The sequence below is a fragment of the Homo sapiens genome, chromosome 2 (genome assembly GCF_000001405.40).
Source record: "Homo sapiens chromosome 2, GRCh38.p14 Primary Assembly".
NCBI lineage: Eukaryota > Metazoa > Chordata > Mammalia > Primates > Hominidae > Homo > Homo sapiens.
In genome coordinates, this window is record NC_000002.12 from 47,782,718 (window position 1) to 47,810,147 (window position 27,430).

At 43.2% G+C, this 27,430-nt stretch overlaps 2 protein-coding genes and 1 pseudogene across 58 annotated transcripts in view, besides 3 other annotated features; 1 reads left to right on the forward strand and 2 right to left on the reverse strand.

Annotated features, from left to right (window-relative positions):
* Positions 1 to 480: a silencer, noted in NCBI's record as "silent region_11467". NCBI's record gives its function as "represses an Ori minimal core promoter by ATAC-STARR-seq in GM12878 lymphoblastoid cells {active_cell/tissue: GM12878}" and the evidence as "EXISTENCE:reporter gene assay evidence [ECO:0000049][PMID:35858748]".
* On the forward strand, positions 428 to 27,384 carry MSH6 (mutS homolog 6). Of its 47 annotated transcripts, none has more exons than NR_176259.1 (12): positions 428 to 776; positions 8,210 to 8,406; positions 13,177 to 13,346; positions 15,894 to 18,438; positions 20,703 to 20,968; positions 22,193 to 22,310; positions 22,901 to 22,990; positions 23,487 to 23,641; positions 23,735 to 23,934; positions 24,062 to 24,183; positions 25,806 to 25,869; positions 27,282 to 27,384. NR_176259.1 is itself a non-coding variant. In NM_001406826.1 (12 exons), the coding sequence occupies exons 3-12, from the start codon at positions 2,687 to 2,689 to the stop codon at positions 24,141 to 24,143; spliced, it is 3,915 nt and encodes a 1,304-aa protein (NP_001393755.1). In that variant the 5' UTR covers positions 1,236 to 1,388; positions 2,155 to 2,250; positions 2,556 to 2,686; the 3' UTR covers positions 24,144 to 24,236. The 47 variants fall into 47 exon arrangements, 42 of the variants coding, with proteins under 42 accessions (NP_001393738.1, NP_001393725.1, NP_001393734.1 ...); NM_001406826.1 differs by lacking the exons at positions 428 to 776; positions 25,806 to 25,869; positions 27,282 to 27,384 and adding exons at positions 1,236 to 1,388; positions 2,155 to 2,250; positions 2,556 to 2,778 and having other exon boundaries at positions 24,062 to 24,236; NR_176257.1 differs by lacking the exons at positions 25,806 to 25,869; positions 27,282 to 27,384 and adding an exon at positions 20,383 to 20,554 and having other exon boundaries at positions 24,062 to 24,236.
* Positions 761 to 920: a silencer, noted in NCBI's record as "silent region_11468". NCBI's record gives its function as "represses an Ori minimal core promoter by ATAC-STARR-seq in GM12878 lymphoblastoid cells {active_cell/tissue: GM12878}" and the evidence as "EXISTENCE:reporter gene assay evidence [ECO:0000049][PMID:35858748]".
* Positions 1,121 to 1,210: a silencer, noted in NCBI's record as "silent region_11469". NCBI's record gives its function as "represses an Ori minimal core promoter by ATAC-STARR-seq in GM12878 lymphoblastoid cells {active_cell/tissue: GM12878}" and the evidence as "EXISTENCE:reporter gene assay evidence [ECO:0000049][PMID:35858748]".
* RPL36AP15 (ribosomal protein L36a pseudogene 15) lies at positions 15,041 to 15,419 on the reverse strand (annotated as a pseudogene).
* The window catches only part of FBXO11 (F-box protein 11), a 99,579-nt gene continuing 96,351 nt past the window's right edge, over positions 24,203 to 27,430 (reverse strand). For 6 of the 11 annotated variants that reach the window (XM_017005015.2, NM_001190274.2, XM_047445922.1 and 3 more), the window contains exons 20-23: positions 26,883 to 26,990; positions 26,441 to 26,549; positions 25,612 to 25,710; positions 24,203 to 25,530 (exon numbers count right to left, since the gene is read on the reverse strand). In XM_017005015.2, the coding sequence (XP_016860504.1) occupies positions 25,401 to 25,530; positions 25,612 to 25,710; positions 26,441 to 26,549; positions 26,883 to 26,990 (446 nt within the window). In that variant the 3' untranslated portion in view covers positions 24,203 to 25,400. Of the gene's footprint in view, positions 25,711 to 26,440; positions 26,550 to 26,882; positions 26,991 to 27,430 lie in introns of all 11 variants that reach the window. The other 5 variants (XM_005264573.6, XM_005264572.6, XM_017005016.3 and 2 more) reach the window with 1 other exon arrangement.

Below are 27,430 nucleotides of genomic sequence, written 5' to 3' on the forward strand. Positions count from 1 at the left end.
CGCTGGACGCGTTTCTCCCCGCGAGCCCCTTTCCGAGGCCTTTCGGGTCCCCCCGGTTATCCCCGCCCGGGCGGTGCGCGCCCCCGCTGTTCCCGCTTCCGCTCCAGAGAGGCAGGGCTTTCCGAGCCTGCTAGCCCCGCGGCCGCAACTAACCCCGGGTCGGAGTGTTCCGGCCCGGCCAGCCCCGCGGCGTGAGGGAAGGGGAGCTCAGCAGTTCCCCGCGCGGGGCCCAGGCGTCGGCGGCAGGGCGGGCCCCTCACCGCCAGCGTGCCAGCCCCGCCCCTACCCACCAGTGTGCCAGCCCCGCCCTTCCCCACGTCGCCGCGCGCCCGGGGGCGGGGCCTGGCGCGCACCGCCCGCGCACGGCGAGGCGCCTGTTGATTGGCCACTGGGGCCCGGGTTCCTCCGGCGGAGCGCGCCTCCCCCCAGATTTCCCGCCAGCAGGAGCCGCGCGGTAGATGCGGTGCTTTTAGGAGCTCCGTCCGACAGAACGGTTGGGCCTTGCCGGCTGTCGGTATGTCGCGACAGAGCACCCTGTACAGCTTCTTCCCCAAGTCTCCGGCGCTGAGTGATGCCAACAAGGCCTCGGCCAGGGCCTCACGCGAAGGCGGCCGTGCCGCCGCTGCCCCCGGGGCCTCTCCTTCCCCAGGCGGGGATGCGGCCTGGAGCGAGGCTGGGCCTGGGCCCAGGCCCTTGGCGCGCTCCGCGTCACCGCCCAAGGCGAAGAACCTCAACGGAGGGCTGCGGAGATCGGTAGCGCCTGCTGCCCCCACCAGGTAGCGGGGTGGGGGTGGGGTCGAAGGCGGGGGCATAGCGGCGGGGCGCTTGGAACCCGGCGAGGGGAGGCTCGCACAGGGGGTTGGGGGGGTGCACGGCCTGGCCCTGGGCTCGGAGGAGGCGGGGCCGCAGAGTTGGCTTGAATGAGTGCAGGGGTCGAGTCTGGAGCATTTGGGGGTGTAGCTTGTAAACAGGGTCGGAGGAGAGAGGCTGTGCAGGAAGAGGGCTGCAGGGGAGACGCGGAGAGTTCGGGCCTTTTGGAGGGAGGAGACGCGTCCCGCCAGGTGGGGGTGCTGGGCTAAGGAAGGGGCGACGCGCGCAGCTCCGGGTGGGGAGGGGGCCTGGGAGGTGGGAGCACTGGGGGTGGGGCGAGAAGGGGAAGGCGCCCGGCCCACTTGGTGGGCGGGGCGGGGGGCGGGGTGGCGGGAAGGAGGAATGCCTGCGGGAGGCCGAACGGGGAGAGTCCGGTGGTGTGGGGTGCGAAAGGAGGTTCCTCGGCCGGCGCGGAGATAGTGAGTTGGGGCTCCAGTAGTCGATCGAGGTAGACACTTAGAGGTAGTTAAGAGCCGCGGTCGCCGAGACGCCTTGGGGACGGTGGGCCTTCGGCCTAGGTGAGGGGCCGCCGAGGGGGTGGGCCACGAGCTGCGAGCGCGGGGGGGTGTGTCACCATGGGGACCGCGGGGCCTAATTGGGCGGGGCGGGGCCGTGGGGAGCCGAAGTGCTGGGATCCGGCTGGGTCCTTCGGTAGGTAGGCTGCACGTGCACCGAGACGAAGATAGAATATTTTGACGTATGTGGAAATTCGTGTCGAGTGGAAAATATTTTATTTTATGAAATAGTGTAATTTTTATGGGGCACCACTGGGCTTTTAGAGGCCTTAATCGGGCGCTGGACAAAGATGTGTGGACGTGAGTGACTCCGGGGAAGCCTGTCGGGAGTTGTCCTCACTTTATGGGCAGTTAAGTGCTTTTTTTTTTTTTTCCTTTTTGAGAGAGAGTTTCGCTCAAGTCCAGGCTGGAGTGCAATGGCGCGATCTCAGCTCACCGCAATCTCCGCGTCCCGGCTTCAAGCGATTCCCCAGCTTCAGCCTCCCGAGTAGTCGGGATTACAGGAATGCGCCCCCACACCCCGCCAATTTTGTATTTTTAGTAGAGACGGGGTTTCTCCATGTTGGTCAGGCTAGTCTCGGAATTCCCGACCTCAGGTGATCCACCCGCCTCGGCCTCAAAGTGCTGGGATTACAGGCGCTAGCCACCGCGCCCGGTCTGTTTAGGGCTTTTTATCCGGGCAGCTGGCGACATTTTGAAAAGCTTGCTTTTGCTGTTTGCCAGATACATATATATGTATTTTGAGACAGAGTCTTGCTCTTTTGTCCAGGCTAGAGTGCAGTGGCGCGTTCTTGGCTCACCACAACCTCTGTCTCTGGATCAAGAGATTATCCTGCCTCAGCCTCCCAAGTAGCTGGGACTACAGGTGCGCCCCACCACGCCTGGCTAATTTTTGTATTTTTAGTAGAGACGGGTTTCACTATGTTGGCCAGGCTGGTATCGAACTCCTGACCTCTTGATCGGCCCGCATTGGCCTACCAAAGTGCTGGGATTACAGGCATGAACCACCGAGCCCGGCCGTTTGTCAGATACTAAACACAAAGTTTAATGGTCGCTATTTGAACAAACGAAGAAATAAAGGCTCAGAAAAAATAACTCATTCAAGATAAGAGCCAGTTCGTGTTTTTTGTTTGGTTTTGTTTTGAAATGGAGTCTCGCTCTGTCGCCCAGGCTGGAGTGCTGTGGCGCTTTCTCGGCTCACTGCAACCTCTGCCCGCCGGGTTCAAGTGATTCTCCTGCCTCAGCTTCCCGAGTAGCTGGGATTACGGGTGTGCCCACCGCGGTCCGGCTGATTTTTCACCATGGAGTTTCACCATGTTGGCCAGGCTGGTCTTGAAACTGCTGACCTCAAGTGGTCCACCCACTTCAGCCTCCCAAAGTGCTGGGATTACAGGTGTGAGCCACCGTGCCCGGCCGCTAGTTAGTGGTTTTGAGTAATGGATTTCAAATCCATTTAAATCCAGTTTAAAGTGTCCTAAAGGAATTCTGAGATTTTTCTAAGTGTAATTATAGTGTTACCCTTGTTTAAGCGACCCTTTCCCGCAGTTTAAATATATATAGTTGTGCATTAGTAGAATATGCTTGTGGGGAACAGAGCCAGCATCCGCAATAACAAACTCCTGGTTAGAAAAGCATGACGTATTGTTTACTTGAGCATGAATTGATTGTTGAATCCAAACCAAACGGGTGTATTTATTGTAAGGATGTACTTTACATTCATATTGAATAGCGTATGTTATTTGTTTCTTGAGGTTGAGTTTAAGAGACTTGTAAAAATAAAACGTATACATTTCACCTCCCGTTATGGAGAGGATTCCAGGGTATTCAAGAAAGATGGGCATTTGATACTAGGTTTCTAAAGAAACTGCAGTGTCTAGATCACTCTGCCGAGCACAGCATTAGGCATTATGGATCCTGGATACAACCATGAACAGGACAAAGCAAAGAGGCAATTGTAGACTCCAAGTGGAAAGGGGACGGAGAGGATGCGGGTCAGGCTAGGCTCTCAGCTCTGTAAACCGAAACCAGAAGGACAAATAAGCTTAGACAGATTATAGTGAGAGTGGGAAGCTGGTTCAGGAAGAGGAAGGTCTGCAAATTGTGGGTAGGATGAAAGGAGGAGGAGGGAGCATTGGAGAAGTTAAGCAGAGATCCAATCATGAACAGTCTGATGAGCTACAGAGACATTCGGACTTACTCCATGAATCATTTAAGCCTTAAAACATGTTGAGCGTATTTTTTTTTTTTTTGAGACGGAATTTCACTCTTGTTGCCCAAGCTGGAGTGCAGTGGTGTGGTCTCAGCTCACTGCAACCTCCGCCTCCTGGGTTCCAGCGATTCTCCTGCCTCATCCTCTCAAGTACCTGGTATTACAGGTGCCTGCCACCACGCCCAGCTAATTTTTGTGTTTATAGTAGAGACGGGTTTCACCATGTTGGTCAGGCCAGTCGTGAACTCCTGACCTCAGGTGATCCACCCACCTCAGCCTCCCAAAGTGTTGGGATTACAGGCGTGAACCACCGCACCTGGCCGTGAGCCACCGTGTCTGTCCGAGCATCTTTTAATGTTTGTCATTTAGATTTCTTCTTGTGCTGAAGTGTTTGTCTTTTGCTGTTTCTTTTTTTTTTCCTAGTTCTTTGTCATTTGTGTGTGATATAAATGTCTTCTTTCACAATGAGTTCTTTCATTTAGTTTATGGCTTTGTTGTTGTTGTTGAATAATAGAGGTCTCACTTTGTTGCCCAGGCTGGTGTTGAACTCTTGCTCTCAAGCGATCCTCCCACTTCAGCCTCCCAACCTGTTGGGATTACAAGTGTGAGCCACCACACCCAGCCTTATGGCATCTTTCGATGAACAAATTATTGATTATAATGTGGAATTTGTCCTTTTATTTTCTCTGTGGTTAGTGTTTCTATAGGTTTTATTTAAGAAATCCACAGGGAGGCTGGGTGCAGTGGCTCATGCCTGTAAACCCAACACTTTGGGAGGCCAAGGCAGGCCAACATGGCTAGACCCTGTCTCTCCAAAAAATAAGAAAATTAGCCAGGCATGGTGGCGTGTGCCTGTAGTCCCAGCTTCTTGGGAGACTGAGATGGGAGGATCGCTTGAGTCCAGGAGGTTGAGGCTGCAGTAAGCCAAGAGATCATGCCATGCACTCCAGCCTGGGTGGCAGAGTCAGACCCTGTCTGCCAAAAAATAAAATAAAAGTTGGTGAAAATGTTGATTATATATTTTAGGAACAACTAGTAATTGACATCAAAATTATGGGCTAAAGAGAAAGCAAAAATAATGTGATTTTAAACCAGAATTCAAAAGATCTGTTTAGCGTATGTTTAGACAAAGCCATTACTTATTATATCAAAGTTTTAACATTTATTTTGTGAGCTGTCAGCTTTTCCTCTTAACATTTTTCCCCACCGTCTTAAAAAACCCCAAGAATACCGGACATTTAAGACTCACTTAAAGCTTTAAAAGCACTTGCAAAATCCTAAAATCATAATTTAAGGTGTTTTTGGAGGGCAGGAGCAATGGTGGCAGGCAGTGTTTTGCTTTGTTGCCCAGGCTGAAGTACAGTGGCAGATCTCGGTTCACTGCACCCTCGACCTATTCGGCTCAAGTGATCCTCCCACCTCAGCTTTCTGAGTAGCTGGGACCCCAAGTGCACACCACCCCATGCCTGGCTAATTTTTAAATTTTTTTGTAGAAACAAGGTCTCACTGTGTAGCCCAGATGGTCTCGAATTCCTGGGCTCTTAAGAGATCCTCCCAAAGTGCTGGGATCATAGGTGTGAGCCACCACACCTGGCCTATTTTGGCATTCTTGAAAACCGCAGGATTACCACGGATAAAATTTTAAAATTACCTTTAAAGAATTCAGGTTTACACACAAAAAAAATTTGGTTTGTTAGCAGTGAGTGAAGAAAAATTTTGAGAAATGTTTAAAATTTTTAGTTTTGTTACACAATACATTTTACTACCTGTTTAATTATCTTTTTTGACTCAGAAACCAGTTTCCTGGGTCCAGGATGTTTAGTGGTACTCTTTTTCTTCAAGCTTTTTAGCATTGGAGGAACTGCATATTAGTAAAATTTTTAGTCTTAGCATTTTATAGCTTACTGCTATTTCTTTTCTTTCATTCTTTCTTTCTTTTTTTTTTTTTTTTTTTTTTTTTTGAGATGGAGTCTCGCCCTGTCACCCAGGCTGGAGTGCAGTGGCACGATCTCGGCTTACTGCAACCTCTGCCTTCCAGGTTCAAATGATTCTCCTGCTTCAGCCTCCCGAGTAGCTGGGATTACAGATGCCCGCCACCATGCCCAGCTAATTTTTATTTTTTTAGTAGAGATGGGGTTTCACCATGTTGGCCAGGCCAGTCTCGAACTCCTGACCTCGTGATCAACCCGCCTTGGCCTTTCAAAGTGCTGGGATTACAGGCGTGAGCCACCGTGCCCAGCCTTTTTCTTTTTCTTTTTCTTTTTTTTTTTTTTTTTGAGACGGAGTCTTGCTCTGTTACCCAGGCTGGAGTGTAGTGGCATGATCTGGGCTCACTGCAACCTCCACCTCCCGGGTTCAAGGGAGTCTCCTGCTTCAGCCTCCCGAGTAGCTGGGATTACAGGCGCCTGCCACCATGCCCAGCTAATTTTTGTATTTTTTTAGTAGAGATGGGGTTTCGCCATGTTGGCCAGGCTGGTCTTGAACTCCTGACCTCAGGTGATCTGCCTGCCTCGTCCTCCCAAAATGCTGGGATTATAGGAGTGAGCCACTGCGCCCGGCCCAGCATACTGCTATTTCTTTCTTTCTTTCTTCTTCCTTTTTTTTTTTTTTGTTTTTTTTTTTTTTTTTTTTTTTTTGTGAGACGGAGTCTGTCGTCCAGGCTGGAATGCAGTGGCGTTTTCTTGGCTCACTGCAACCTCTGCTGCCCGGGTTCAAGTGATTCTCCTGCTTCAGGCTCCCAAGTAGCTGGGATTATAGGCCTCTGCCACTGCACTTGGCTAATTTTTGTATTTTTGGTAGAGACGGGGTTTCACCATCTTGGCCAGGCTGGTCTTGAACTCCTGACCTCGTGATCCACCTGCCTTGGCCTCCCAAAGTGCTGGGATTACAGACCTGAGCCACCGCACCCGGCCCATACTGCTATTTCTTAACAGCAGAGAAATTATGTGTCAGATTCTGTAAGTGTAATGGTATATAAAGGATAAAATGATGTTGAAAAACAAAATTTTTTGTTTAAATGCTTATGTTTCTAATATTTTATTTCAGAAAGGAATTTATTTCAAAACTGATAATGGTTGGATCCAGCTTTTCACACAAACTTTTTTTTCCTAGTGAGGATGCACATTTATCCTGTAAACAAATGGAAGACATTATTTTTTTAATTGCTTGCTTAGAAATGAAATAATTCTTTTCTAATGATCTTTTAAAGCATGAGACCTCATACATCATTTAAAACAATTTATACTGTATTTTACACATGACAAAGTTCTAAGGTAACAGCCCTTTTCTAAGACTAAAGTTACAGTCCTCCCTTTGTATCTGAGGGGGATTGGTTGCAGGACCCCCCTGTGAATACCCAAATCCTTGGATGTCCAAGTCCCTTATGAGATGTAGTATTTGCATATAACCTATACACATCTTCCCCTGTACTTTATCTCTAGATTACGTACAATACCTAATAGAATGTAAATGCTTTGAAATTAGTTGTTCAGCTGTATTTTAAATTTTGTATTTTTTTTCCTTTTTTTTTGAGACAGAGTCTTGCTCTGTTGCCCAGGCTGGAGTACAGTACAGTGATCACAGCTCACTGCACCTTTAACCTCCCAGGCTCAAGCTGTCCTGCCTCGGCCTCCCCAAGTGTTGGGATTACAGGTGTGAGCCATCATACCTGGTCACTGTTTTTTATTGGTTTTAAATTTTTGATTTAAAATTTTTAATCTAGGTTGGTTGAATCTGGACTGGAACCCAAGGATATGTTTGTTGAGCATACTGTATTTACTTTGGAATACAACTAGAATGCTTAACTTGTATGTTAAAAATACTTTATTTGGCCAGGCGCGGTGGCTCACGCCTGTAATCCCAGCACTTTGAGAGGCCAAGGCGGGTGAATCATTTGAGGTCAGGAGTTTAAGACGAGCCTGGCCAACATGGCAAAACCCTGACTCTACAAAAAAAAGGTAAAAATAAGCCAGGTGTGATGGCGTGTGCCTGTAGTCTTGGCTATTCAGGAGGCTGAGACACAAGAATCGCTTGAACCGGGGAGGCACGTTACGCCCTCAGTTGTTGACTTGAGTTTTTCCGTAGTTTGTAGGGGGAGGGTAATAGAGTATTAGGTAGCTTTTGGAATACATAGGAGTGTAACTGGAAAAAGATTCCAAGCAAGTCTAATGAATTAGATAATTTACCTAATTAGTAAATTATGTAATCAGTATGCTTTATAATAATATTGTGAGTTAGATCCTGTTTCTGATATGTACATACCATATTGTATAGGTGCTACTAATTTGGAGAGCATATACAGTGAGTCCATGCCTTTTTCCTGCCATCAGCATTATACCAAAATTCTGCCATGGTTTTTAAACTTTGATTCTGAGAAAGTTTCTCACCCTAATAACATAACTATATTTGTGTTTGTCTTCATAGTTAAATATGCATTATGATATCAGCTTGCATACATTTTTTAAATGACTTGAATATCTGACTTTAAAAATTATTCTAGAATTTCTGTGCTTCAATATTAATGCCAGAAGACTTGGAATTGTTTATTTGTAGGTAACTGCCTTTAAGGAAACTTGACCAAATATTAACTAAGTTATGTATTTCCTTTTGGCAACAGTTGTGACTTCTCACCAGGAGATTTGGTTTGGGCCAAGATGGAGGGTTACCCCTGGTGGCCTTGTCTGGTTTACAACCACCCCTTTGATGGAACATTCATCCGCGAGAAAGGGAAATCAGTCCGTGTTCATGTACAGTTTTTTGATGACAGCCCAACAAGGGGCTGGGTTAGCAAAAGGCTTTTAAAGCCATATACAGGTAAGAGTCACTACTGCCATGTGTGTGTGTTTGTGTGTGTGTGTGTGTGTGTGAGAGAAACAGACAGACAGGCAGACTTTTTTCTATATGATGAAATTAAGTGTATTTTACCCCAGTAAATTGCAAGGGGTGGCAGTTGTGAAAGCTTCTGGCATGGGAAAGGGATGTAACATGGTCTTTAGCTGGTTTGTTTTGTGGAATGGAATTTTTATTTCTGTCCTTTGAGTGACTTACAGCAATATTATACCCTTAATAAGGGTAAACTAAACTGTCCCCCCATCTTGAAGGGTCCAAGAGAAAGTTAATGTCATCAGGATACATAGCCTATAGATAGCGACATTCTCTAGGGAAAGATGGAGATGCGCACTACCTGGCCTTCAAACTACTCACTAATGAACACATCTGAGTTGAGTTTCACACCAAACTCCTGGAACCATAACTTTCTTTTCCCAGATCTAGTCTTGTTTATCACAGACATCAACAGCCTGGCATGTTTAGCCTCACTTGGGCTAGGTGCACCCCATCGTCTCTTGTACAAGTTCTCTTTCTTTCTTTTTTTTTTTTTTTTTTCTGGAGACAGAGTCTCACTCTGTTGCCTAGGCTGGAGTGCAGTGGCGCAATCTCGGCCCACTGCAACCTCCGTCTCCTGGGTTCAAGAGTTTCCTACCTCAGCCTCCCGAGTAGCTTGGGATTATAGGCACACGCCACGTTGCCTGGCTATATATATATATTTTTTTTTTGAGACGGAGTTTTGCTCTTTTGGCCCAGGCTGGAGTGCAATGGCGCAATCTCAGCTCACTGCAACCGCCACCTCCCGGGTTCAGGTGATTCTCCTTCCTCAGCCTCTAAAGTAGCTGGGATTACAGGTGCACACCACCAAGCCCAGCTAATTTTTTATTTCTAGTAGAGATGGGGTTTCACCATGTTGGCCAAGCTGGTCTTGAACTGCTGACCTCCAGTAATCCACCCACCTCCCCCTACCAAAGTGCTGGGATTATAGGCGTGAGCCACTGTGCCCAGCCGCCCAGCTAATTTTTGTATTTTTAGTAGAGACGGGGTTTCACCATGTTGGCCAGGCTGGTCTCCAACTTCTGACCTCAGGTGATCTGCCCATTTCGGCCTCCCAAGAGTCTCCAGTCTAGTACGTTGTCGTACTCGGTGTTGTAAAATCCAAACAAGGGTCAGTTTCCCAGGTAACTGGGAAATTCCCAGAATCACACTCTTTCGTCATAGTGCTCATCCTACAAAAAAGGATTGGGGGCATTTTGTCTAAAATTAAATGTAAATGGTGATCTGACATACAGGTGGAAAGAGAATTGGGAAGTTTTGTTCTCTCTTCTACCAACTTGCCACATAATCTTGGCCAAGCAAAGTAACTTGTTTTTTCTTTTAATCTTTTTAAAAGAAATAGAGACACAGTTTTGCCATGTTGCCCAAGCTGGTCTCAAACTCCTGCCTGAGCTCAAGCAGTCTGCCCACTTCGGCCTCCCAAAGTGCTGAGACTACAGGCATAAGCCACCATGCCCCTGGGCTCGGCCAACTTTTTCGTTTTCTTTTCAAGAGATGGGGGTCTCACTCTGTCACCCAGCCTGGAGTATAGTGTTGGGATCATAGCTCACTGGAGCCTTGAACTCCTGGGCTCAAGTGATTCCCCCCTGTTTTAGCCTCCTCAGTAACCGGGACTAGAGGTGTCTGCCACCACACCTGGCTAATTTTTATATAGTTTTTTTTTTTTTTTTTTTTTTTTAAAGAGATGACGGTCTTGCTATGTTGCCCCCAGGGTGGTCTTGAATTCTTGGCCTCCAGTGATCCTTCTGCATCAGGCTCCCAAGTAGTTGGGTGATCTGGCTAAAGTAACTTATTTTCTGATACTGTTTACTTATATTTAGAATGAATCTCATTGGGGTTGCACTGGGGCCGGGCATGGTGGCTCACACCTGTAATCCCAGCGCTTTGGAAGGCCAAGGCAGGTGGATCACCTGAGGTCAGGAGTTCCAGACTAGCCTGGCAAACATGGTGAAATCCCGTCTCTACTAAAAATACAAAAATTAGCTGGGCATGGTGGCACATGCCTGTAATCCCAGCTACTTGGGAGGCTGAGGCAAGAGAATCGCTTGAATCTAGGAGGCGGAGGTTGCAGTGAGTCAAGATCATGCCACCGCACTCCAACCTGGGTGACAGAGCGAGACTGTCTCAAAAAAAAAAAAAAAAAAAAAAAAAAAAAGGCTGGGCACGGTGGCTCGCGCCTGTAATCCCAACACTTTGGGAGGCCCAGGCGGGTGGATCACGAGGTCAGGCGTTCGAGACCAGCCTGACCAAGATGGTGAAACACTGTCTCTACTAAAAATACAAAAATAAGCTGAAATCCCAGCTACTCGTGAAGCTGAGGCAGAGAATTGCTTAAACCTGGTAGGCGGAGGTTGCAGTGAGCCGAGATCGCGCCACTGCACTCCAGCCTGGGGAACGGAGTGAGACTTCATCTCAAAAATAAATAAATAAATAAATAAATAAAATAAAATAATAAATAAAGTAAAAAGATCTCTCATTGAACCAGATGATATATGAAGTCTCTTTTAGGACCAATTTCGAGATTTAAAAAATTTGGCAGAATTACTTTTTTTTTTTGCAGCGGAGTCCAGCTTTATCACCCAGGCTGGAGTGGAATGGCACAATCTCAGCTCACTGCAACCTCTGCCTCCTGGGTTCAAGCGATTCTCCTGCCTCTGCCTCCCAAGTAGCTGTGATTATAGGCGCCCACCACCAGGCCCAGCTGATTTTTGTATTTTTCAGTAGAGTTGAGGTTTCACCACGTTGTCCAGGCTGGTCTCAAACTCCTGACCTTAAGTGATCCGTCCACCTTGGCCTCCCAAAGTGCTGGGATTAGGTGTGAGCCACTGGGCTGGCCCAGAATGATTTTTAAAAAGAGATCAGTAAGGCCAGGCAGTGGTGGCTCACGCCTGTAATCCCAGCACTTTGGGAGACTAAGGTAGGTGGATCACCTGAGGTCAGGAGTTGCAGACAAGCCTGGCCAACATGGTGAAACCCTGTCTCTACTAAAAATACAAAAATTAGCCAGGCATGGTGACACATGCCTGTAATCTCAGCTACTCAGGAGGGTGAGGCAGAATTGCTTGAACCCGGGAGTCAGTTTCTTTTTTCTTTTTTTGAGATGGAGACCCACTTTGTCACCCAGGCTGGAGTGCAATGGTGCAGTCTTGGCTCACTGCAATCTCTGTCTCCGGGGTTCAAGTGATCCTCCTGCCTCAGTCTCCTTAGTAGCTGAGACTACAGGTGTGCACCACCACACCTGGCTAATTTTTGTATTTTTAGGAGAGATGGATGTCACCATGTTGGCCAGGCTGATCTTTAAACTCGTGACCTGAAGTGATCCACCCGCCTTGGCCTCCCAAAATGCTGGGATTACAGGTGTGAGCCACCACGCCCAGCCCTAAAGTTGTATTTTGATGGAACGAACTGTTTTGAGAAATAAATTTTAACGCGTTGAGTCTGAACTGGGCTGCCCTTTCAAAATGTGAAGGCCCCTTAAAGTAGCACATTGGTTGGTTATTCTTTTATTTATTTAGATATATCTGATCTAGTTGTCTTTGGGACAAACTCATATTTAATATCATAGCTGCATGTAACTGACAGTGTAGTCTTTGTCTTCCTGAAGTGTTTGTTTGTTTTTTGAGATGGAGTCTTGCTCTGTCGCCCAGGCTGAAGTGCAGTGGTGCGATCTTGGCTCACTGCAACCTCTGCCTCCCGGGTTCAAGTGATTCTCCTTCCTCAGCCTCCCGAGTAGCTAGGACTACAGGCATGTGCCACCACACCCAGCTAATTTTTGTATTTTTAGTAGAGATGGGGTTTCACCATATTGGTCAGGTTGGTCTTGAACTCCTGACCTCGTGATCTGCCTGCTTCTGCCTCCCAGAGTGCTGGGATTACAGGTGCGAGCCATTGTGCCCAGCTAGTAAGTTTTTAAGAAAGATTCTCAAACCTCTTTTAAATCGTCTGCCTCACTTGAAGAGGTATGCCCTACCTGTTTAGGGCTGTAGACCCAGGTCATTAGAAGACAGACTAAGTAGTCCTGGGTGAACCCATAGGGCACCTTCAAGGAGGTAAAATTGGTGATTTTAGTTTCACCAGTAGTTTTTCCCTGAATATTTATTCCTTTTGTGCTTTATTGATCTATCTATATCAATAAAAAGTAATGGGGCATAACAAATTATACTTGTCATTCTTGTTCATTAGGGCAAATGTTGTAGGTTGAGTCAAGTGTCCAGCCAACAAGTTATTTTATGTGTGTGTGTGTGTGTGTGTGTGTGTATACATATATACATTTTTTTTTTTTTTTTTCATCGAGACAGGGTCTTGCACTGTCGCCCAGGCTGGAGTGAAGTGGTGCAATCTCGGCTCACTGCAACCTCTGCCTCCCAGGTTTAAGTGATCTTCCCACCTCAGCCTCCCAAGTAGCTGGGACTACAGGCGCACACCACCACCCTTGGCTAATTTTTGTATTTTTTTTTTGGTAGAGATGGGGTTTCACCACATTGCCCAGGCTGGTCTTGAATTCCTGACCTCAAGTAGTCCGCCCACCTAAGCCTCCCAAAATGCTGGGATTACAGGCGTGAGCCACCACACCTGGCATATATATATTTTAAGATAGAGATGGGGTTTGCTATGTTGCCCAGGCTGGTCTTGAACTGCTGGGATTACAGGCGTGAGCCTCTGCACCCGGCCCTTATTGTTTATAAATACATTTCTTTCTAGGTTCAAAATCAAAGGAAGCCCAGAAGGGAGGTCATTTTTACAGTGCAAAGCCTGAAATACTGAGAGCAATGCAACGTGCAGATGAAGCCTTAAATAAAGACAAGATTAAGAGGCTTGAATTGGCAGTTTGTGATGAGCCCTCAGAGCCAGAAGAGGAAGAAGAGATGGAGGTGGGACACGGCAAGCATTCAGTTGTTATTTATGTTAGGGTGATGGGGGAAGAAAGGGGGAGGGTGTATTAACAAGATACCTTGTTTTATATATGTGTGTGTATATGTATTATTTTATTATACATACATGCATACTTCTGTAGTTCCCTGGACTGTAGGATAAGTTAGGTTACTTAGAATCTCAACAGCTAGCATCGTTTTTACTTAGGTTTTCAAGCCTACTGGCAGGGTAAGCAAGAGGTAGTACCATTTTGGTAAGAAGTAGAGAGCTAGGGACAGTAAAGATGGAGTAATATATATATGAGGGTATAGTCAGGCCCTAGAAATTAATTATCCAGTTTTATGCTTTTTATAAAAAAACTGAGATGGGGTCTTGCTATGTTGCCCAGGCTGGTCTCAAACTCCTGAGTTCAAGGGATCTGCCCACCTGGGCCTCCCAAAGTGTTGGGATTACAGGCATGAGCCACAGCACCCAGCCCCAGCTTTATGCTTTTAATTCTAAAACTTTTTTTGTTGTATTTTGCATTCATAAGAATAGATGTTAAATAAACCTTGAAATACAACCTTGGCTCAAACGTTAATGGTCATGGATAAAGTGAATTAAAACTTGTTAGGGGCCAGGTGTGGTGGTTAATGCCTATAATCCCAGCACTTTAGGAAGCTGAGGCAGTTGGATGTCCTGAGGACAGGAGTTCAAGACCAGCCTGGCCAACACAGTGAAACCCTGTTTCTATAAAAAATACAAAAATTAGCTGGGCGTGGTGGCACACACCTGTAGTCCCAACCACTTGGGAGGCTGAGGCATGAGAATTGCTTGAACTTGGGAGGCAGAGGGACTTGGGAGGCAGAGGGTGTAGTGAGCCAAGATCGCACCACTGCATTCCAGCCAGGGTGACAGAGCAAGAAGACTGTCAACAACAACAAAAAATGTTATAGAAGTGAAAAAAATTGATTAATTTAGAACAAGCTTGTCCAGTCTGTGGCCCAGGATGGCGTTTAAATCAGCCCAACACAAATTTGTAAACTTTCTTAAAACATTTTGTGATTTGTTGTTGTTGTTTAGCTCATCAGCTATCATTAGCATTAGTGTATTTTATGTGTGGCCTAAGACAATTCTTCCAGTGTGGCCCAGGGAAGCTGAAAGATCATTATCCTCTGATCTATCATATTAATGAGCTGCATCCTAAAAGACATTCATCTATAACTAAGCTCAGTTTCATGTTTTGTTCCTTTTTCAATAGATAAGATAGGGAATGAGCAAGTTAATAAAGTGGGTATTTTAATTTTAAGGTTGAAACTAAGGATCATAACATTATCAGAGGTCTAGAACTGGATGGCAGCTACAGAGATCATTTAGCCTAATACTGGTTTAACAAATAATCCGGGAGATCCGTGATATGTGAATGTGCTAGGCCTGAGATGAGACAGCCAATTGTGGAAGAGCAAACACTAGAACCAGTATAAGTTGCTTACTGCTTTCTTATGCTATTAATGAGCATATCGCCTCCTGATATTTATGATATATGGTCATGCCAACAGCTTTGTCATAAATAGAACTCCCATGGCAGCAATCACTTAATCTTGTAGTTAGAGGTGGGGTCTCACCATGTTGCCGAGCTGGCCTTGAACTTCTGGGCTCAGCGATTTTCTCCACAGGCACCTGCTACTGTGCTCGGTGCAGCACTTTGTGTTTTTGAACATAACCTCAAGATGTTATTGTCTTCATAGTAAAACAAAAGATGAGGCTTAGAACTGGATCACTTTGCCTGTCTCTTCTTACCTCCTCCCAGTTCAAAATGCTTGCATCTCTTAATAGCTAGCATTCCCTTGGATTTTGCACATGAGCTCAAACTCAAGCCTCAGCACAATCTTTTTTATAGTTTTAGTCTTTTAGCCAGAGTCGACTTACCCCCCATACCCACTCTGCTTCCTTCATAATGCTGCTTTCCCTGGGCAGAGAATCCTTGCCCTTCTTGTATTATGTCACTTTGTGGGGTTGGTGTCTGCTACACTTACAGCAAGTCCAGAGATTTTTTTTCCACCACGTTTGCAGGAGAACTATTGGCATGGAAAATGACAATTGTTTTAATGTCAAGTGAAACTGAAGTTGATGTTCATTGAGAGGTTTCTAATTTCTAGAGGTGGGTTCTTTTTTTGGCATATGAAGTTGCAGCATATTAAGAGAATTTACAGTAGTACAGATGGGGTTATCCCATCCACAACTTATGATGGGGTTACATAAACTAAAAACGTGTTTAATACACCTACCCCACCGAATATTGTAGCTTGGGCGTAGCCTAACCTATCTCAGACGTGCTCAGAACACTTAAATGTTAGCCTAAAGTTGGGCAAGATCATCTAACACAAAGCCTATTTTATAATAAGGAATTGCCTATCTCATGTAATTCATCGAATACTGTACTAAAAATGAAAAACAGTGGCTGCACGGGTACCATTATAAAGTCAAAAAATCATAAGTTGAACTGTCTTACATTATGGTTTTCCAAATTTTGATTTGTTTTTAAATACTCTTTCCTTGCCTGGCAGGTAGGCACAACTTACGTAACAGATAAGAGTGAAGAAGATAATGAAATTGAGAGTGAAGAGGAAGTACAGCCTAAGACACAAGGATCTAGGCGAAGTAGCCGCCAAATAAAAAAACGAAGGGTCATATCAGATTCTGAGAGTGACATTGGTGGCTCTGATGTGGAATTTAAGCCAGACACTAAGGAGGAAGGAAGCAGTGATGAAATAAGCAGTGGAGTGGGGGATAGTGAGAGTGAAGGCCTGAACAGCCCTGTCAAAGTTGCTCGAAAGCGGAAGAGAATGGTGACTGGAAATGGCTCTCTTAAAAGGAAAAGCTCTAGGAAGGAAACGCCCTCAGCCACCAAACAAGCAACTAGCATTTCATCAGAAACCAAGAATACTTTGAGAGCTTTCTCTGCCCCTCAAAATTCTGAATCCCAAGCCCACGTTAGTGGAGGTGGTGATGACAGTAGTCGCCCTACTGTTTGGTATCATGAAACTTTAGAATGGCTTAAGGAGGAAAAGAGAAGAGATGAGCACAGGAGGAGGCCTGATCACCCCGATTTTGATGCATCTACACTCTATGTGCCTGAGGATTTCCTCAATTCTTGTACTCCTGGGATGAGGAAGTGGTGGCAGATTAAGTCTCAGAACTTTGATCTTGTCATCTGTTACAAGGTGGGGAAATTTTATGAGCTGTACCACATGGATGCTCTTATTGGAGTCAGTGAACTGGGGCTGGTATTCATGAAAGGCAACTGGGCCCATTCTGGCTTTCCTGAAATTGCATTTGGCCGTTATTCAGATTCCCTGGTGCAGAAGGGCTATAAAGTAGCACGAGTGGAACAGACTGAGACTCCAGAAATGATGGAGGCACGATGTAGAAAGATGGCACATATATCCAAGTATGATAGAGTGGTGAGGAGGGAGATCTGTAGGATCATTACCAAGGGTACACAGACTTACAGTGTGCTGGAAGGTGATCCCTCTGAGAACTACAGTAAGTATCTTCTTAGCCTCAAAGAAAAAGAGGAAGATTCTTCTGGCCATACTCGTGCATATGGTGTGTGCTTTGTTGATACTTCACTGGGAAAGTTTTTCATAGGTCAGTTTTCAGATGATCGCCATTGTTCGAGATTTAGGACTCTAGTGGCACACTATCCCCCAGTACAAGTTTTATTTGAAAAAGGAAATCTCTCAAAGGAAACTAAAACAATTCTAAAGAGTTCATTGTCCTGTTCTCTTCAGGAAGGTCTGATACCCGGCTCCCAGTTTTGGGATGCATCCAAAACTTTGAGAACTCTCCTTGAGGAAGAATATTTTAGGGAAAAGCTAAGTGATGGCATTGGGGTGATGTTACCCCAGGTGCTTAAAGGTATGACTTCAGAGTCTGATTCCATTGGGTTGACACCAGGAGAGAAAAGTGAATTGGCCCTCTCTGCTCTAGGTGGTTGTGTCTTCTACCTCAAAAAATGCCTTATTGATCAGGAGCTTTTATCAATGGCTAATTTTGAAGAATATATTCCCTTGGATTCTGACACAGTCAGCACTACAAGATCTGGTGCTATCTTCACCAAAGCCTATCAACGAATGGTGCTAGATGCAGTGACATTAAACAACTTGGAGATTTTTCTGAATGGAACAAATGGTTCTACTGAAGGAACCCTACTAGAGAGGGTTGATACTTGCCATACTCCTTTTGGTAAGCGGCTCCTAAAGCAATGGCTTTGTGCCCCACTCTGTAACCATTATGCTATTAATGATCGTCTAGATGCCATAGAAGACCTCATGGTTGTGCCTGACAAAATCTCCGAAGTTGTAGAGCTTCTAAAGAAGCTTCCAGATCTTGAGAGGCTACTCAGTAAAATTCATAATGTTGGGTCTCCCCTGAAGAGTCAGAACCACCCAGACAGCAGGGCTATAATGTATGAAGAAACTACATACAGCAAGAAGAAGATTATTGATTTTCTTTCTGCTCTGGAAGGATTCAAAGTAATGTGTAAAATTATAGGGATCATGGAAGAAGTTGCTGATGGTTTTAAGTCTAAAATCCTTAAGCAGGTCATCTCTCTGCAGACAAAAAATCCTGAAGGTCGTTTTCCTGATTTGACTGTAGAATTGAACCGATGGGATACAGCCTTTGACCATGAAAAGGCTCGAAAGACTGGACTTATTACTCCCAAAGCAGGCTTTGACTCTGATTATGACCAAGCTCTTGCTGACATAAGAGAAAATGAACAGAGCCTCCTGGAATACCTAGAGAAACAGCGCAACAGAATTGGCTGTAGGACCATAGTCTATTGGGGGATTGGTAGGAACCGTTACCAGCTGGAAATTCCTGAGAATTTCACCACTCGCAATTTGCCAGAAGAATACGAGTTGAAATCTACCAAGAAGGGCTGTAAACGATACTGGACCAAAACTATTGAAAAGAAGTTGGCTAATCTCATAAATGCTGAAGAACGGAGGGATGTATCATTGAAGGACTGCATGCGGCGACTGTTCTATAACTTTGATAAAAATTACAAGGACTGGCAGTCTGCTGTAGAGTGTATCGCAGTGTTGGGTAAGACTTTGAACAAGCTTGTTCTCAGGCTTTGATAAGTAGTGCTGTTTGCCAGCTGTATATTATCCCTAAAAATAAGTAATAAGGTATATATGGTACATATTTTGACATGCATATACATATTTGCATCCTGACTAGGCTGCCCACAGCAATTTAAGTTACTTGAAACTCGCTTTTATCTTAGTAGCCCTTTGGCCTTTCTTCAGTTTTTTTTTTTTTTTTTTTTTTTTTGAGACATGGTCTTGCTCTGTTGCCCAGGCTAGAATATGGTGACACAACCATGGCTACTGCAGCCTCGACCTCCCAGGCTTAAGTGATCTTTCCACCTCAGCCTCCCAAGTAGCTGAGATTACAGATATGCACCACCATGCATGGCTAATATTTAAATGTTTGTAGAGAGATGGGGTCTCACTGTGTTGCCAGGACTGGTCTTGAACTCCTGGGCTCAAGTGATCCTCCTGCCTCGGCTTCCCAAAGTGCTGAGGTTACAGGCATGACCCATTGCGCCTGGCCCTTTCTTCAGTCTTTAATAATCGAACAAAAGGTTTTTGTTTTTAGACAGTGTCTTGCTCTGTTACCCAGGACAGACCTCTCGTGTCAGCCTCTTAGGTAGCTAGGATTTACAGGTAAGCACCGGCGTGCCCTGCTTTATTTTTTTGGTGGGGGAAGGGGGAAGGGAGTTGAAGCTTCCCTATGTTGCCCAGGCTGGTCTTGAACTCCTGGCCTCAAGTGATCCTCCAGTCTCCCAAAAGTGCTGGGATTACAGGCATGAGCCACCGCTCCCGGCCCAAAAGATTTTTAAATGTGTTATACTTCATGAGACAGGCTTTATTTTAGATCGAATTTTATTTATCAATAAAAAGTTGAGCTTTTTATTATTTGGTGAATACTGTTTCAAGGTGCTTTGTTACACTATCTGTTGATCCAACATTTAAAAATTGTTTTATTACAACCTTTGCATTTCAGTGAATCCATCTGCATACAATTTTAAAAGAATCATTCCTTTTTTCTGTAGCCAAATTGTCAAAGATTCTTTCCTACAATTGATTTTTCAAAGCCCTGAGTTAGGAATTTACAATTTGGCAACCATCTCAACTTCATAAGCAATTTTGTTCTTTAAATGTCACGGCCAACATTACCTGGAACCATTGCTGTTTTATAGTTTAGGTTTATGTTGTATATTTTTTTTAATTTTTTAGAGACGGGGTCTTGCTGTTTTCAGACTGGAGTACAATGGGATGACTAGCTCACTGCAGCCTCAAACTGCTGGGTTCAAGTGATTCTCCTTCCTCAGCCTCCTGAGTAGCTGGGACTACAGGTGGTCACCATCACACCTGGCTAATTTTTGTATTTTTGGTAGAGACAGGGTTTTTCCCGTGTTGGCCAGGCTGTTCTTGAATTCCTGACCTCAAAGCGATCTGCCCGCCTTGATCTCCGAAAGAGCTGGGATTACACGCATGAGCCACTGCGCCCAGCCCTGTTTTTTTTTTTTTTTTTTTTTTAAATAATGGTAGTTTACTTGAATTTGTAACACAGTAACACAAAACTATTTTGATCTGAACGCAAGTATCTAATGGAACAGAATAATATACTTCCTTTTAGTGTGCTGCATTTGGTTACTGGGTAATTTAAAATTCTTCCTCAGCACAGGTGTTCAAAAACCAGTCTTCAGAGATTGTTTTCATATCAGTGTGCCAACTTTGGCACATTCTGCTAAGTAAGAGGCTTAAGTGTAGCATGTTTCTGCTGTTTTGTGTTTGTTTTGTTTTGTTTTTTGAGACAGAGTCTCTCTGTCGCCCAGGCTGGAGTGCATTGGTGCGATCTTGGCTCATTGCAACCTCTGCCTCCCAGGTTCAAGTGATTCTCCTGCCTCAGCCTCCTGCGTAGCTGGGATTACAGGCATATGCCACGTGTATTAGGCACTGCTAATTTCTGTATTTTTAGTAGAGACGAGGTTTCACCATGTTGGTCAGGCTGGTCCTGAACTGCTGACCTCGTGAACTCTGCCCGCCTAGGCCTCCTGAAGTGCTGGGATTACAGGCGTGAGCCACCGTGCCTGGCCTCTGCTCTATCTTTTAGCTTTCCCTTGGCACTTCTATGGTCCAGATGTTAGAGGGTAAGTATTTTGATGGGGGAGATCGTTGGACTGTAATTGAAAGTTATGTCTTATAATGAAATGTGTTATATAAAGAAGACCTATAAAACACTTAGGCTGATAAAACCCCCAAACGATGAAGCCTCACTTTTACCCTCTCTTTTAACAGATGTTTTACTGTGCCTGGCTAACTATAGTCGAGGGGGTGATGGTCCTATGTGTCGCCCAGTAATTCTGTTGCCGGAAGATACCCCCCCCTTCTTAGAGCTTAAAGGATCACGCCATCCTTGCATTACGAAGACTTTTTTTGGAGATGATTTTATTCCTAATGACATTCTAATAGGCTGTGAGGAAGAGGAGCAGGAAAATGGCAAAGCCTATTGTGTGCTTGTTACTGGACCAAATATGGGGGGCAAGTCTACGCTTATGAGACAGGTAACTGATTCTTAAAGTTTTGTTATCAGAAAGTCATTTGTGACATTAGGAATAACATACTTAGGTGATCATTTTCCAAACACAGTTACATAAAAGTCAGCCAGTGACTTAATAGGAAGCAAAGGGAAATTACTCCCTGTGTTATAAAATTGAGAATTATATTTAGCTGAAACATCGATGCTTAATGTTAAGGGGAATATATGTTAAAAAGGGGAAGGAGGTCAGTCATTCAGGTCATGAGGCCCTTTGACTTGAATTCATTTCCTCAGAAGGTAGGTATATTCATAGTGAACAAAAATACAAAGGCTGTATGAAAAGATGAAAATGTTACAGGTTTATCCTTAAATTAGACTCATTTGCAGAAATGCAAATGAGGTAAGAAAGCAAATATAGTTCATGACCTCTAGCAACTGTTGAAAACTGCTCTTTAGGGATGACATGCTGGCCCTTTTTTTTTTGTTGTTGCCAAGGCTGAAGTGCAGTGGCACCATCACAGCTCACTGCAGCCTCGAACTCCCAGGTTCAACCCTTCCTCCTGCCTCAGCCTCCCCAGTAGCTGGGACTACAGATGTACACCATCATGCCTAGCTCATTTTTAAAAAAATTTTTTATGGCATTGTATTTATCTTCTCTTTATAACCAGGGGTTGACCAGCCACAGAACTTGTAAAGTTTTTTATATTTTTAAAAGGTTGTAAGAAATAGTAGTAGTTGGCTGGTCCCCGCTGCTCTCCTGCATTATAGTATACTTCTGTTCACCTAGTTTGCTAGAGAGAGGCAGTATAGTGTGTATAGTGATTTCCAAACTTTTTCTTTAAATCAGAATCACCTGAAAGAATGTGACAACGTGTAAAAAAAAAAAAAAAGGTGCAGAGATTCCATCCTGACATGGATTCACTTGATTGGAATTGATTCTAGGCATCTCAGTAGTTTTAAAGAGCTCCTAGGTGATTCTATTCTGGCCAGCGTTGAGAATCACTAGGGTAGTGGGTTGGTAAGCAGGCTCTGATGTTTTAAAGGCCAGGTGAGGCCCTATGCCTCTTGTCTCTCTTAGCCTCAACTTTCTCCATGTTAGCAAATGGATTTCAGAACAGAACCAACGTACATGTGATTGTGAAAGTTGTTTTAGAGTGCCTAGCTCTTACGTAAGGGTTCATAAGAAAGACAAAAGTTTATGAAACTGTTACTACCAGTCATAAAAGACCTTTTCCTCCCTCATTCACAGGCTGGCTTATTAGCTGTAATGGCCCAGATGGGTTGTTACGTCCCTGCTGAAGTGTGCAGGCTCACACCAATTGATAGAGTGTTTACTAGACTTGGTGCCTCAGACAGAATAATGTCAGGTGAGTTTTTTGTTTCCCACTTAAGTTCTCATTCAGTCATTTAGATGTGATAAAAGATATTTGCTTCTTGTATATGAGCCTTTTAAATCTAATATTTGATTTTTCTGGTGTTACTTTAAAAACATCACTTTTTAAGAACTGCATAGTCTCTCTCTCTTTTTTTTTTTTTTGAGATGGAGTTTCCCTCTTGTTGCCCAAGCTGGAGTGCAATGGCACGATCTTGGCTCACTGCAACCTCTGCTTCCAGGTTCAAGTGATTCTCCTGCCTCAGCCTCTCGAGTAGCTGGGATTACAGGCGCATGCCATCACGCCCAGCTAATTTTTTGTATTTTTAGTAGAAGCGGGGTTTCACCATGTTAGGCTGGTCTCTTAACTCCTGACCTCAGGTGATCTGCTTGCCTCGGCCTCCCAAAGTGCTGGGATTACAGGCGTGAGCCACCGTGCCCGGCCAATAATTGCATAGTCTCTTAATGAGATTTAATCTTTTATACCAATATGTGTAGCTCATGATAGCTATATAACCTAGAAGATGAATTTATGTAATATGATTTGCAAAATGAGTATTCATTTGTGATTTTTTTTTTTTTAAGGTGAAAGTACATTTTTTGTTGAATTAAGTGAAACTGCCAGCATACTCATGCATGCAACAGCACATTCTCTGGTGCTTGTGGATGAATTAGGTAAGACATTAAACTTCTCATTTGAAGACTATCTATCTTAAAAACATTTGTACAAATAACTATTTTTATAGAAGATTATCTGAAGTACATTTAAACAATATGAATGTTTTTAGAGCACGCACTCACCATTGTGGCACAGACCGATAGTTGGAGATAAAAGGTGATATTGTGAAAGGTTTTTGATTACCCATTAATTATTAGGCCTTACACTGTTTAGTTGTAATAAAACATTTGTTATACTACGGGGATGAGAACACTAATAGGAGGACTCAGGAAGTTTATGACCTTGAGCGATACTGTATTTTCTTTAAAAGAAACCTCACTCCCCATGGGCTGCTAAGCAGACTCGTGTAGCTAAACAAGGCCTATTTATAGAATGCTTTTAGACGTGGATGTACTAACCGATGTTGCTTTTCTGTCCTAGCATTTTTGTTTTAATTCCTTTTTTGTTTTAATTCCTTTGAGTTACTTCCTTATGCATATTTTACTTTAACAGGAAGAGGTACTGCAACATTTGATGGGACGGCAATAGCAAATGCAGTTGTTAAAGAACTTGCTGAGACTATAAAATGTCGTACATTATTTTCAACTCACTACCATTCATTAGTAGAAGATTATTCTCAAAATGTTGCTGTGCGCCTAGGACATATGGTATGTGCAAATTGTTTTTTTCCACAAATTCGGTTTTTTGAGAGGGCACTTCTCTTGCTAGCACATGTATCGCTAATATTTTTCTTTCTTAAGGCATGCATGGTAGAAAATGAATGTGAAGACCCCAGCCAGGAGACTATTACGTTCCTCTATAAATTCATTAAGGGAGCTTGTCCTAAAAGCTATGGCTTTAATGCAGCAAGGCTTGCTAATCTCCCAGAGGAAGTTATTCAAAAGGGACATAGAAAAGCAAGAGAATTTGAGAAGATGAATCAGTCACTACGATTATTTCGGTAACTAACTAACTATAATGGAATTATAACTAACTGACCTTAAGTTTCAAAGAAACAGTAAAAGGGGAAGGGATGATGCACTATGAAAAAACAAAAAAACTTTTTTTTTTTTTTTTTTAATTTTAAGGGAAGTTTGCCTGGCTAGTGAAAGGTCAACTGTAGATGCTGAAGCTGTCCATAAATTGCTGACTTTGATTAAGGAATTATAGACTGACTACATTGGAAGCTTTGAGTTGACTTCTGACAAAGGTGGTAAATTCAGACAACATTATGATCTAATAAACTTTATTTTTTAAAAATGACCATTTTTCCATTTTCTTTCTAGGAAATTAAACCCTTTTAATTCTTATCTACCTTCTACATAATGGTTATTGAATACTCCACAATATATTAAGTCTAGATGTTATGGTACATGCATACACTTTCAGGCTGTTTTATACCCACTGTCACCAATACACATAAATGGGGGAGGAAAAGCTATGAAACTGTATAGGGCTGTATATATACTTGTCTCAGCTTAATGCAGGAAATTGGTTTAATTTCCAGCAGTTTTGTCTAAACTGTTCAAAAAAAAACTATGAACAGAGTTCAAATACAGGACTGTTTGTTTTGAAGAGACTTTCTAAAGTGTACTTAAAACATAGTAGTTTTTTACCTTTCACAAAACTGAGTTACAAGAATACTTTTGTTTTACAGTGCATCCCTTCCTAGGAAGTCTCATTAAAACACTCACTTTTTCTAGGGGTGATTTTGAATGCTGCACAGGGAAGGGAAGGAAATAATAGTCTTAACTTTTCTTAAAGGATACCAGAAACATTGCTGGATATAATTTAAGATTAGTGTTTTCTCTTTCATAGAAAGAACGTACATACTGGGACATGAGTACAGTTACAGCAAGTCTAGGTGTGCTAACAAAACAGGGCACATTCAAGTACAGTAAGATTTTGCTTGAAATTAAAAACAAACTACATGAGATTAAAGCATTAAAATCATATTTCTCAATCTGAATACATGTTAAAAAAAAAAAATCAAAAGGAACGCAGAAGTGCTAGCTCACATTTTTACCATATTACAAAAGCAATTGGTACCCATGTCCATAAAGGCAGCAACAAAGCTGCTTGTCTATTGAAGATTACTACTGCAAATTGGACTGCATTCAATGCTAGTTGTAAAAACACCAGCTTTTCAGAAGTTGGTATCTGTACAAAATTGCAGCTTATTTTCTTCACTTCTGTCCCTTCAAGTCTTTACACAGTAATGCTAAAACACCCAGCTTTGAGATCCTGAGTCAATATATTGCCACTTTCTTTTTGGTAGCTTGAGCTTCATAGTGTCAACTGACCTTGTGTATCCATTTTTAATACAGTCTCTTCCTGTAGCATGGGCAAATATTTTAAATCTTCTTCCAAAAAAGTGTTTTAAGTTATGATGTTACAATGGCAGGACTTTTTCTTTAGGGAAGGAATTCAGTTGTGCTGCAATGTATTAGATTCTATAGGTGGAGCAGAGTCATATAGTGTATCTGTATCATGTGTAGGCTCACCAGCTAATGTACAAGGATTAGACAGTGTTCCAGCACCACAGTCACAGAAAAACCTAAAGCAAAATGAAACCCAAATATTAGAAAAGTGAGGGGGAAAGTAATTGGGTAATATATCAAGCAAGTGTGCTACATACCTATCATGTCTAATAAACTCTACATCATGTCCCTGATGGCACTTCTTAATGCAGTTCACACATATGGCATTTCGATCTGTGGTGTTACAAGTATGACATCTAAAAAGCAAAAGCTTAAATTACTTTTCTCAAACATGTCATTAATGCAAAACATTCCATTCTGTTTATATATTACTATGACCTTTGGCTTTAAGAGGACCAAAACAAAATTCTTTGTGGCTCCAGCCCAGATTAATTCTGAAAAGGAACTTTAATGGAGTAAGTGATTTTCCTGTCATCTGTGTCTTCGGAGGGAAGAGAAATGATTTGTAAATTGTATAAAGGCAGTTCTTTCCACTTTAAAAGCCTCTCAAATGTTTCTGGGCTGAAAACAATTTTTGGAGGCGTGAAGAGTCAAAACTGTCACAGTGACTGGGATATATCAAACACTTAACCCCGACATCTTTACCTTGAAATTTCTAGGAAAACATTACACAACATGAGTTACATGAATGACATCAGTTACTGTAGCATTAGGTTTTTCCATAGTTATGGTCTTTGTTTTGTTTTGTAGAGACAGGGTCTCCCTATGTTGCCCAGGCTGGTTTAGAACTCCTGGGCTCCAGTGATCCTCCCACTTCAGCCTCCCAAAGTGCTAGGATTACAGGCATAAGCCACCACGCCTACCCACAGTTACAGTCTTAAACACGATCTTCAAGTAGATTGATGATAAAATTTTCAGTTAGTTATAGTCTCAACACCGGCAAATAGCCAAAAATGCTAGGCATTGCTAATTTAAAAAGGAAATCAGTCTTCCTCTTTTCAGGACTCAAATATATTTCTAAGTTACCTGTAGAAATCATGCATGGGATAGCTGGTATAACTTGATATTTTATATAAACATTGGCCTCTACTAACAGCCTTTTCTATGGCATCTTGATTGTTCATTATTTTGTTATCTGTAATAAAAGAAAGAATAAGTAAAAATTCAGAGGAATGTTAATATTTTAAAAACCAAAGATTATAGGATTATTCTAACAGAAGAGCCACTATTTTTAAGAGCTTTAAATGAAGCTAACCAATGAAGTAATTGTAAGAAATCAGCTAAGAATAGAATTTTCCTTGTATAAGATACTCCAACCATTTAGAACCAAAGCTCTGTTTCTTTCAAAATCTATCTTAAACTGTTGCTAACTTGGAGAGTGACATAAGGAATCAAGTTATAAAACGGCTTCTGATTATCTTTCATGGCATATTGCATATATTTATAGGTATAGCAGACTCCAACATACCTTTCATTGTCACATTAACACCAGATGCTAAAAATAAGCCTCCAAACCGGTTGTTAAAAATCTGATTGCCTTCTAGTGTTGCAGTTGCGTGATTTGTAATTTCAATACCTGAAGTAAAATTTACAAACAAGTAGATACATCACTTTATACTGCTTCTTAAAAACCTGAAATTAGCAAGCAAATGTAAACTGCTTCTTTTATAGAAGTACATTAACCCTCTTAATGTCTACTGAATAAAATGTAGATACCTATTTCAACCACCAACAGTAACATTCACTTATCAATGACTATGGTCAAAACTGCAATTAACTTTCGCACCAACCTAACTGTCTTAAAGTTTAAATACATGATACTTGGATTTCATTTGCATCCATTTTAACATCTCTTTTTCTGTTGCAGATTTAAACTGGTAAATTCATCTGAGGAATTGAATCTATCTGTATTCCTAGTGGTAATACAAGCCTGCATTTATTCTATCCCAATAAATGTTTCATAATCACGACTAAGCAATAAGAGCAATATTTCTTAGGAGTCTGGCTTAGAGTAGA

Bases quoted from the DNA above. Each gene is read 5' to 3' on its own strand.
- MSH6 (NM_001406795.1), top strand. From the start codon at position 517: ATGTCGCGACAGAGCACCCTGTACAGCTTCTTCCCCAAGTCTCCGGCG. The intron at 8,407-13,176 runs GTAAGAGTCACT...ATTTCTTTCTAG, and splicing joins GCTTTTAAAGCCATATACAG to GTTCAAAATCAAAGGAAGCC. The intron at 23,935-24,061 runs GTAACTAACTAA...TTTAATTTTAAG, and splicing joins CAGTCACTACGATTATTTCG to GGAAGTTTGCCTGGCTAGTG.